The sequence below is a fragment of the Homo sapiens genome, chromosome 14 (genome assembly GCF_000001405.40).
Source record: "Homo sapiens chromosome 14, GRCh38.p14 Primary Assembly".
Lineage (NCBI taxonomy): Eukaryota > Metazoa > Chordata > Mammalia > Primates > Hominidae > Homo > Homo sapiens.
The window spans coordinates 31,010,952-31,023,019 of NC_000014.9; the positions used below are offsets into that span (position 1 = coordinate 31,010,952).

The 12,068-nt window shown below is 42.9% G+C and overlaps 1 protein-coding gene, 1 non-coding gene and 1 pseudogene across 5 annotated transcripts in view; 1 reads left to right on the top strand and 2 right to left on the bottom strand.

The window, feature by feature from the left end:
* Positions 1 to 12,068, bottom strand: part of STRN3 (striatin 3) — a 132,576-nt gene that overhangs the window by 117,148 nt on the left and 3,360 nt on the right. The gene's annotated exons all lie outside the window — the stretch shown is intronic.
* On the bottom strand, positions 3,695 to 3,791 carry MIR624 (microRNA 624). The gene has a single exon (NR_030354.1). It is a non-coding gene; the product is annotated as a microRNA 624 (primary transcript).
* LOC100913082 (intraflagellar transport 20 homolog (Chlamydomonas) pseudogene) lies at positions 7,221 to 7,886 on the top strand (annotated as a pseudogene).

The window sequence follows — 12,068 nt, forward strand, 5'->3', positions numbered from 1 at the left end:
TCACTTGAACCCAGGCAGCAGAGGTTGCAGTGAGCCAAAATTGCGCCACTGCACTCCAGCCTGGGTGACAGAGCAACACTCTGTCTCAAAAACAAAACAAACATTTTAATTGAAGTGATTTCTCTGATACTCCATTTCCCATGACAGGGAGGGGAGACAAAATTATAATCTAATAAAACCCAGAAAGTTTGTTTTCATTCCAGGATCAAACGAGGGCTTGACAAAGAGTATTAATTTACTCTATCCTGTGGACTTTTTCTGCATCCGGTGGACTTTTTCTCCTAGTATATACACACCACAGAAATTGTAAGTCAAGCTCTCATCTCTAACATTTTAATGAGATGTCCTCAGCAATTTCACTTATTTAGCAAATATTTGGCAGACATCTATTATGTGCCAGACCCTTTACTCTCAAACTGGGTATACATACCTGTAATTCCAGCAGTTTGGGAGGCCGAGGCGGGTGGATCACTGAAGGACAGGAGTTCGAGACCAGCTTAGCTAATATGGCAAAACCTCGTCTCAACTAAAAATACAAAAAATTAACAGGGCGTGGTGGCACACGCCTGAAATTACAGCTACTCAGGAGGCTGAGGCACAAGAATTGCTTTAACCTGGAATGTGAAGGTTGCTGTGAGCTGAGATCATGCCAATGCACTCCAGCCTGGGCGACAGAGCGAGACTGTGTCTCAAAAAAATAAAATAAAATTGCAAAACATGTTAAGTGCTAACAAGGAAATGACCAGGGAGCAGTTACATATGTAAAATAGAAAGATTCATAAAAACAGAGGCTAGAATCTCAATCCCCAACCCTTTTTATTTATTTTTATTTATTTATTTTTTATTTTTTTGAGGCAGTGGCTAACGGATGTAATCCCAGCACTTTGGGAGGCCAAGGTGGGAGGACCACCTGAGGTCAGGAGTCGGAGACCAGCCTGACCAACATGGTGAAACCCTGTCTCTACCAAAAATAAAAAAAAATTAGTTGGGCATGGTGGCAGGCGCCTGTAATCCCAGCTACTTGGGAGGCTGAAGCAGAAGAATCGCTTGAATCCAGGAGCCGGAGGTTGCAGTGAGCCGAGATCGCGCAACTGCGCTCCAGCATGGGCGACGGAGCGAGACTCTGTCTCAAAAAAAAGAAAACAAAAAAGCAACACAACAAATACTATTCCAGGCCACTGTGAAATGTTTTTGTTATCTGAGATATCTATCAGTGTCATATTGTTACCCTTATCCATTGTTACTCTCTCATATTATTTCTCTTTCAACCCACTTCATCCTATTATCTTTGTTTTCTTTCTCATTCTCTATTCTCCAGGATTTCAGTGAAAGATAACTTAAATAAAAGCAAGCCCCAGTTAACAGCTTTCAAAGCAAAAACATCCTAAGTTCAGATTTAAATGCAAGCCATGAAATAAAGTGTCACACAAAATTTTAAACTTTCCACAACTGCTAACAACTCTTAACAACAGCAACAAAAAGGAAACACAACAGAGTTTGAGGCAGCAAGACTGACTGCTCACACATTTAAGAAAGAACACAGCTACAAACGTTTTATGAAAATTTAACACAACTGTCCAGCAATAGTGGATTAGGTGGATCAACTTTGGCCTATCTACACAAAATACTATGCAGCTGTTAAAAAGAAGTGAGGATGTAGGGTCAGGCGCGGTGGCTCACGCCTGTTATCCCAGCAATTTGGGAGACCGAGGCGGGTGGATCACGAGGTCAGCAGTTAGAGACCAGCCTGAGCAACATGGTGAAACCCCGTCTCTACTAAAAATACAAAAAAATGAGATGGGTGTGGTGGTGGGCGCCTGTAATCCCAGTGACTTGGGAGGCTGAGGCAGAAGAATCACTTGAAACCTGAAGGCAGAGGTTGCAGTGAGCTGAGATTGTGCCACTGCACTCTACCCTGGGCAATAAGAGCAAAACTCCGTCTCAAAAAAAAAAAAAAAAGTAAGGATGCTCTCTATTAGCAGGTTTGGAATGATCTCTCAACATGTGAAATGAAAAAGTAAAGTAGGGAGGGCATAGTGGTTCATGCCTATAATCCCAGCACTTTGAGAGGCTGAGGTGGGCAGAATGCTTGAGCTCAGGAGTTCAAGACCAGCCTGGATAACACAGGGAGACCCCCATCTCTACAAAACAGTTAACAACAACAAAATTAGTCAGGTGTGGAGGCATGTTCCTGTAGTCCCAAACTTTGGAGGCTGAGGTGGGAGGATAACACAGGGAGACCCCCATCTCTACAAAACAATAACAACAACAAAATTAGTCAGGTGTGGAAGCAGGTTCCTGTAGTTCCAAACTTGCGAGGCTGAGGTGGGAGGATCAATTGAGCCCAGGAGATAGAGGTCGCAGCCAGCCAAGATCGCATCACCACACTCCAGCCTGGGCAAAAGAGTGAGACCCCCATCTCAAAAAAAAAACAAAAAAATTATAGTGAAAAATAGGTTATATAGTTTGCCACATTGTACCAGAAAAGGATGAAAACATTTGCTTTCATCTACCTACATAAAAAACACTAGAGAGGGACACACACAGACTAAAAAAAAAGTAGTCGATTACTAACTTGGCAGTGGGGGGTGGTAGACAGGATCATGGTGAGTATAAGACTTAATTTTGAACCACATATTACTTATTCAAAATATAATTTTTTTTAAAGAGACAGAGTCTTTTACCAGGCTGAAGAGCAGTGGTGTGATGATAGCTCATTACAACTTCAAACTCCTGGGCTCAAGCAATCCTCTCCCCTGAGCCTCCAAAGCTAGGAATACAGGTGCATGTCACTATGTCTGGCTAAATTTTTTCTTTTCTGTAGAAACGGGGGGGGTCTCACTATGTTGCCCAGGCTGGTCTCGAACTCCTGGCCTCAACCAATCTTCCTGCCTTGGCTTCTCAAAGCAATTTTATTATTATTATTATTATTATTATTATTATTATTATTATTATTATTATTATTATTTGAGACAGAGTGTCAGTCTATTGACCAGACTAGAGTGCAGTGGTGAGATCATGGCTCACAGCAGCCTTGACCCCTTGGGCTCAAGCGATCCTCCCGTCCCGGTTTCCCGAGTAGCTAGGACTACAGGTACAACACCATTGTGTCCAGCTAATTTTTTAAATTTCTTGTAGAGACAGGGTATCACTTTGTTGCCCAGATTGGTCTTGAATTTCTGACTTCAAGTTATCCTCCTGCCTTGGTCTCCCAAAGTGCTGGGATTATAGGAAGGAGCCTGTAAGTGTCCTGAAAGTGCAAAAATTGTTGTTGTTGTTGCTGTTCTGAGACAGAGTCTTGCTCTGTTGCCCAAGCTGGAGTGCAGTGACGTGATCTCGGCCCACTGCAACCTCCGCCTCCCGGGTTCAAGTGATTCTCCTGCCTCAGCCTCCCGAGTAGCTGGAACTACAGGCGCGTTGACACCACACCCTGCTAATTTTTGTATTTTTAGTAAAGACGGGGTTTCACCATGTGGGTCAGGCTGTTCTCGAACTCCTAATCTTGTGATCCACCTGCCTCAGCCTCCAAAAGTGCTGGGATTACAGGCGTGAGCCACTGCGCCCGGCCAAAGTGCAAAATTTTTAATAGGAATTTTTACGTCTGTTTATAAAGTCTATCTAAAAGTAGTCCAAAATTTTACTTTACATTTATAATTGCTTTAATTCTAGTCTTTTAAATCTTGTTCACTGAAACCACTTAGGTGTAATGCTATCTCAAGGTAATACCAATACCTTGTGTTTACCTTGGTTCCACTGAACACAAGGTACTGGTACTACCTTGAAACAGCATTATATATTGGTCAAAAGCACATCCTTTTTTAACCTTTTTTTCTTTTTCATTACAAGAACACAAAACCACTTTAAAAAAAAAAAAAAAAACAGGGTCTCACTCTGTTGCCCAGGCTGCAGTCTGTCACCCAGGCTAAAGTACAATGGTGCAATCTTTGCTCACTACAACCTACACCTCCCAGGTTCAAGCGATTCTCCTGCCTCAGCCTCCCAAGTAGGTGGGATTACAGGCATGCGCCACCATGCCCGGCTAATTTTTGTATTTTTTTCTAGAGACAGGATTTCACCATGTTGGCCAGACTGGTCTCAAACTCCTGACCTCAAGTGATCCGCCCGCCTTGGCCTCCCAAAGTGCTGGGACTACAAGCGTGAGCGCCACCGCGTCCAGCCTCACACCCACTTTTATTTATTTACTTTTCATTAGTTTCCTTGAAGGGTATTCTGTGTCCAGTAGCCTTACCAGGAAGGCTGCTTCAGAATTTGACACAAACCATGCCACTGGTTTCCACAGGTATGAGTTGCGTTTCCCCAATTACTATAGTTTTGTTCCGTTTGCCTATGTTATTCTTTGCTTTATACACATAAGCACAACTCTTAAATAGAATTCAGTTTCATCTTGGGCTTAAACACTTTCAATTTTTTTTTTTTTTTGAGACGGAGTTTCATTCATCACCTAGGCTGGAGTACAATGGCACGATCTAGGCTCACTGCAACCTCTGCCTCCCAGGTACAAGCAATTCTCCTGTCTCAGCCTCCTGAGTAGCTGAACTACAGGCATGCACCATCACACCGAGCTAATTTTTTGTATTTTTAGTAGAGACAGGGTTTCACCATGCTGGCCAGGCTGGTCTCGAACTCCTGACCTCAGGTGATCCACCCGCCTTGGCCTCCCAAAGTGCTGGGATTACAGGCATGAGCCACCGTGCCCCCAGCCAACACCTTCAATTTTAAGAAGAGCTGTATGCTCCTTTTGGCTCTGCAGACCTTACTTATAGCCAGGCCTTGGAAAGCAGCTGCCAAGACATTTACTTTTAGAAGTTCAGTTCTGTTCCCAGCAGGCCTCTACAGAACCTTGTGAGACAGGGACTCACTCTGTCACCCAGGCCGGAGTGCAGTGGGGTGATCATGGATCACCGTAGCCACAACCTCTGGGGCTCAAGCAATCCTCCATCTCACTCCTCCACCAGGTAGCTGGGACTTCAGGCACATGCTACCATGCCTGGCTTCAATACTGTTTTTCATTAGGGGAATGTAAATTAAAAACAGTGAGATACCACTGCATAACTACCAAAATGGTTAAAATCCAAATCACTACAACTCCAAAAGCTGAAAGGGGAGCAATAATAATTCTCACTCATTACTGGTGGGAATGCAAAATGGTACAGCCACTTTGGAAGATCATGTGGCAGTTTCTTACATAATTAAATATAATCTTACCATATGATCCAACAATCACACTCCCTGGTATTTACTCAAATTACATGAAAACTTATACGTCCACACAAAAACCTGCACATGGATGTTTACAGCCTTTACTCATAATTGTCAAAACTTGAAAGTAACCAAGATACCCTCCAAAAGGTGAACAAACTGTAGCACATCCATAAATGGAATATTGTTCAGCACTAAAAAGAAATAATCAACCCATAGAAAAGACAAGGAGAAGCCTTAAATACACTGCTACTAAGTGAAAAGGCTACATATTATACGATTCAAACTAAGGCAACCCTCTGTATCCAAGGGTTCCCCATTCACAGATTCAAACAATGGCAAGGCAAAAATATTCCAGAAAAATAATAAAAATATATATATATATATTTTGAGACAGAGTCTCGCTCTGTCGCCCAGGCTAGAGTGCAGTGGCGCGATCTCGACTCACTACAACCTCCGCCTCCCGGGTTAAAGCGATTCTCCTGCCCTCAGCTTCCCAAGTAGCTGGGATTACAGGCACGTGCCAGCACACCTGGCTAACTTTTATATTTTTAGTAGAAACGGCGTTTCACCATATTGGCCAGGCTGGTCTCAAACTCCTGACCTTGTGATCCACCCGCTTTGGCCTCCCAAAGTGCTGGGATTACAGTCATGAGCCACTGCGCCCAGCCAAAAAATAATTTTTAAAAATTATAGCAACTAGCCAGGTGCAGTAGCTGACACCTGTAATCCTAGCACTTTGGGAGGCCAAGGATGGCAGATAGCTTGAGCCCAGAAGCTCAAAACCAGCCTCAGCAACTTAGCAAAACTCTGTCTCTAGAAAAAATACAAAAATTAGCCAGGTGTGGTGGCGGGTGCCTGTAGTCCTAGCTACTCAGGAGGCTGAGGTGGGAGGATCACCTGAACCCAGAGATCAAGGCTGCAGTGAGCAGTGATTGTTTTACTGCACTCCAGCCTGGGTGACAGACTGAGACCCTGTCTCAAATAAAAAGTTTTAAAAAGTGTAACAACTATTTACATAGCATTTAGATTATATAAGTAATCTAGGCCGGGCGCAGTGGCTCACGCCTGTAATCCCAGCACTTTGGGAGGCCAAGGCAGGCAAATCACAAGGTCAGGAGATCGAGACCATCCTGGCTAACAAGGTGAAACCCCGTCTCTACTAAAAATACAAAAAATTAGCCGGGCGTGGTGGCGGGTGCCTGTAGTCCCACCTACTAGGGAGGCTGAGGCAGGAGAATGGCGTGAACCCAGGAGGCAGAGCTTGCAGTGAGCCGAGATCGCGCCACTGCACTCCACCCTGGGCGACGCAGCGAGACTCCGTCTCAAAAAAAAAAAAAAAGTAATCTAGAGATTTAAAATATACAGGAAGATGTGCATAAGTTACAAACTCATTGTATTGAGGGACTTGAGCATCTGAGGATTTTGTATCCTGGAGGAGAACCCCTGGAACAAATTTCCCCCAAGGATACCATGGGAAGGTATATGAATGTATTCTGGAAAAGGCAAAACTTTGGGGTAGGAGACTACTTGTACTTTCTGCTAAATTTTGCTGTGAACCTAAATTGTCTTATGAGGGGCAGTGAGTGTATACACACAAAAGCGAGCATACACAGTTATTTAGGCTGCGCACGGTGGCTCACACCTGAAATCCCAGCACTTTGGGAGGCCAAGGCGGGTGATCACTTGAGGTCAGGAGTTCAAGACCAGCCTGGCCAACATGGTGAAACCCCGTATCTACTAAAAATACAAAATAATTAGCTGGGCATGGTGGTGCATGCCTGTAATCCCAGCTACTCAAGGGGCTGAGGCAGGAGAATTGCTTGAACCTGGGAGGCGGAGGTTACAGTGAGCCGGGATTGCGCCCACTGCACTCCAGCCTGGGCAACAAAATGAAACCCTGCCTCAATTTAAAAAAAAAAAAAAAGGAAATTAATTTAAATAAATTTAAAACCATTTTGTTAAAAAAAAAAAACCTTAATAAAAATATATTTCAGGTCATGGGTAAAGAGTCTCTGTAGTCATGGCAACAGCCGAGGCAGGCTGCCTGCATACCAGCTACCAGTGATGGGGAGAAGCTGCCAGTCTACATCAGCCTGGGCCATAGTAAGCTGCTGCCACGGGGCCAGCAGGGTGGGCACCATGTTGCATTCATCTCTGTACCCCCAGCATCTAGCAGTGTTGGCATGTAGTGGGCACTCAAAGAAATGTGTGTTGAATGAACAATACCTGTGACAAGCAAGCGAACTTTATTCTTTCTCGACCCTTGTTCCTATGACACACCTCCTCCTGACTGTCACCGTCACTCCTTCAGAGCAGAGCTTCTCTAGGGAACTTGGATGCGAAACAACTATGGTAAAGGACATCCTGGCTGAAGAGGGACTGCACTTTGATGAGTTGAACAAGCTGTGGGTGTTGGACTCAGAGGTTACCCAGCAGACCACAGAGCTCAAAGAAGAGTGCAAGAACTTTGCGGACAAAACTGGCCAGTTTCAGAAAACAGTTGGTGGTTTAATTGAGCTTGTTGATAAACTTGCAAAAAAAGCGTAAAATGCGAAGATGAGGGCCATGGTGCTCCGAACTTGCTCAAATCAATAGCAAAGCAGAGAGAAGCTCAACAACTTCAGAACTCAGTAACTTCAAGCACTAATAGAATAAAAGAAAATTTAGGCAGGGCATAGTGGCTCACACCTGTAATCCCAGCATTTTGGGAGGCCAGGGTGGGCAGATCACCTGAGGTCGGGAGTTTGAGACCAGACTGGCCAATATGGTGAAACCCCATCCCTACTAAAATTCAAAAAATTAGTCGGGCATGGTGGCACACCTATAATCCCAGCTACTCTGGAGGCTGAGGCATGCCAGGCATAGTGGCTCATGCCTTTAATCCCAGCACTCCTGAGATGCCAAGGTAGGAGGACTACTTGAGGCCATGATCTCAAGACCAGCCTAGACAACATAGAAAGACCCTGTCTCTACTAAAAAAAAAATTAGCCAGGCGTGGTAGCACGTGCCTATAGTCCAAGCTATTTGGGAGGCTGAAGTGGGAGGACTATTTGAACCCAAGAGTTTTGAGGCTGCAGTGAGCTACGATCGCACCACTGCATTCCAGCCTGTGCAACATAGTGAGACCCTGTCTCTTAAAAATAAATAAAATAATAGAAAATAATAATTTGGAATGGACAATGAATGGATAGAAGTACAGGTAAAACAAGACTGATCATGAGTCGTTGCTGTTTAAGATGAGTGACACGTTTGTGGGAGGTCACAATACTATATTATTTTCTTACATGTTTGAAACTTTTCATAAAAAAATTAAAGGAGGGTTATATATAATACAATTGTCTTTATGATAAAAAGGATAAACTGTTAAGAGGGGCAATGGATGAAACAAACCTGTCAGGAGATTATCTCAAAGAATTCTGGCAGGAGGAGTACTCTGAACTAAGGCAGTATTAGTACAGAAACAAAAAGCACAGATTGAATCAGTTACTTCCTTAGATCAGCAGTCAGGCTTCATGGGCATTCTAAGCAAAATTTTCTTACCTTTTTTGAAAAAAAACTAGAAGAGGCTCCACAGCATTCATAATATATGCAAAGGGGACTATACAATCCCCCAAAAAATCAAGCATCAGTGAATTAGAATATACTTTAGGATACTGATGTTACCTATATTACTTAGCCTTTTGAATCATTATAGTCCAGTTCACTCATTTTCTTTTTTTTTTTTTTCTTTTTTAGATACAGGGTCTCACTGTTGCCCAGGCTGGTCTCCAACTCCTGGGCTCAAGTGATCCTCCCATTTCAACCTCCCAAAGCGCTGGGATTACAAGCGTGAGACACCACACCTGGCCAGTTCACAGTTTAAATGAAGCTCTTTCCTACTTTAGAACTTCTGCTAAATGCTGTAGCTTCCAACTGGCATGTTCTTTGTACAATTAGGTATTCCCGATACTTCAGATCTAGAAGTATACATTTAGGAACTTTATGAGAATTAAATGTACTGAAGAACCAAAAATAATGTCAACCATATAGAAAGTGTTCAATAGGTCAGGCGCAGTGGCTCATGCCTGTAATCCTAGCACTTTGGGAGGCCAAGGCAGGCGGATTACTTGAGGTCAGGAGTTCAAGACCAGCCTGGCCAACATGGTGAAACTCCATCTCTACAAAAAATACAAAAATTAGCTGGGCGTGTTGGTGGGTGCTTGTAATTCCAGCTACTCAGAAGACTGAGGCATGAGAACTGCCTGAACCCAGGAAGTGGAGGTTGCAGTGAGTTGAGATAGCACCACTGTACTCCAGCCTGAGTGACAGAGCGAAAACTGTCTCTAAAAAAAAAAAAAGAAAGTGCTCAATAAATATTAGGTATTATCTGAAACTCCATTACATATACAGGTTTCCTATCACCATTTATTCTCTCAGCATTCTGCTAATTTGTTGTAACATTTTATTGGCCAGGCATGATGGCTCATGCCTGTAATCCCAATACTTGGACTTTGGGAGGATGAGGTGGGAGAATCATTTGAGCCCAGGAGTTCAAGACCAGCCTGGGCAACAAACTGAGAACCCACCTGAACTAAAAATAAAAACAGCTTGGTGTGATAGTCCATGTCTGTAGTCCCACCTACTCGGGAGGCTGCAGCAGGAGGATCAGTTGAGCTCGGGAGCCTGAGGCTACAGTAAGCCATGTTGGCACCACTGCACTCCAGCCTCGGCAACAGAGTAGGACGCTCTCTTGAAAAAAAAAAAAATTATTTCTAGAGTATAAGCTCCCTGAGGACAAAGTCTGTGTCTCATACATCATTATACACCCAGGATCTAGCACAAAATCGCACTCAAATATCACCAAATAATCATGCTGGAATCAATAAAACTCACAGGCCATACGCAGGGGGAAGGTTCAATGACCTCTATAGTACTAGCGATGGGGAGGATAGTGTTAACTTTAATGTGGCAAGGAATAAAGAATGAGCAAGTGTGTTTTGTCAAGGGAAAGAGGCAGGCACTTGAGATTAACTGAATGGATGTATTGAATTTGAGGTAGAAAAACTAAACGGAAGTTAGAAATACAAGGGACATCTGGACGCCAAAAATCTAGTAGTGGTTAAGAACATGGCCTCTACAGGCAGTCTAAGTTTAAATCCCAGTTCTACTGCCTCCTAGTTGCATAGATTACTTAACCTTTGGGCCTCGATATGCCAGTGTCAGAAAAAATAAAAAAAAGACACCAATTATACCTGTATCAACCTCACTGAGTTGTTTTGAGAATTAAATGAATACTGAATGAATTAAATGAATACTGAAATACTGAAGCACTGAAATAACAATTAGGAAAGAGTAAATAAATGCTAGGTATTATTAAGATGGTACATGGTAGCTAAAAATCTGATTCTGAATATACAGTGAGAACATAAAATAGAACCAGAACCCCACATAATAACAACTGGGAACAAAAGAAAGAAAACATATGAAGAAAAGTGATAAGTGGATGACAGGAAAAACAGAGCGGAAGCAAAAGAAAACAGTTTTGAAGGATTTGTTAACAACAGAGTGTTGGTTAAGTACATACGGTTTATAAGGCCAAAGGATTTGGCAATTTGAAGGTCAATCATGAACAGAAAACATAGTGTTCTACGAAGTGTTTAGAAGGGAGGAGAGAAGAAAGCGAAAAGGCAGACTACAGAGTGGGGTTAATGGGTAGTGGAGGAGCATAAAGAGAATTCTAGATCAGTGGTCCCTAAACTTCATTTCAAGGGCTTCAAAAAGAAACAGGGAATCTGACACAAGGTAGTGGACTCCCTTAATACTATCAATAAAATTTTTTTAACTATTATCACCATCATCTGAAAAAGGAAATGCCTAACAGTAAAAATGTATGAAGGCTAAAAATCCCAGAACAAAGGGAACACCTTTATGAAAAATCACTGTCGGCCGGGCGCGGTGGTTCACGCCTGTAATCCCAGCACTTTGGGAGGCCAAGGTGTGCAGATCACGAGGTCAGGAGATCAAGACCATCCTGGCTAACACGGTGAAACCCCATTTCTACTAAAAATACAAAAAAATTAGCTGGGCGTGGTGGCAGGCACCTGTAGTCCCAGCTACTGGGGAGGCTGAGGCAGGAGAATGCCGTGAACCTGGGAGGCAGAGCTTGCAGTGAGCCAAGATGGTGCCACTGCACTCCAGCCTGGGCGACAGTAGAGCGAGACTCCATCTCAAAAAAAAAAAAAAAGAACATAAACTCTTTGACTACATTTTCTTGTATTAGCTATGTCATATTTTTACACTTGGCAAACAAGCATTTTGTATATACCCAAAATCCACTTACTACATACAAACTATAAAGAAAAATATAAGGACACATTAGCAATATATATAAACTATGCCTTGCAGCAGCATCACAGGCGCTCAATAAAACTTTATTGAAATGTACTCAAGTGGTGTGGGCCACGCAATACTAGATGAAGAATTACAAGTCAGATTCCACTCTATAAAAAAGAGCTAAGACAGTATAACATAATGGTTACAAGAGTGGTAACATGACTACAGGCTTTGGAATCAGACAGACTTGGGTTCAAATCTCAGCTGCAATACTTTATGGCTAGGTGACCTTGGCAAAATGATTTAACCTACCTAAATTTGTCTCCTCACCTGTAAAACAGGAATACTCACCTCATGAGGTTATAGTGCTGATTAAATGGCAGTTTCTAACTTTTAGAAGTCGTAACATGATAGATGTTGCTGCTTAAAGATCCTTAAGTTAGTAGGAGATATTTTGCTTAGACTTACTTGATTTCTTCATTTTTAAGGGGGGAATCTCCTGAATTTTCCATTTTCAGGGTTTTCAAAAGCTG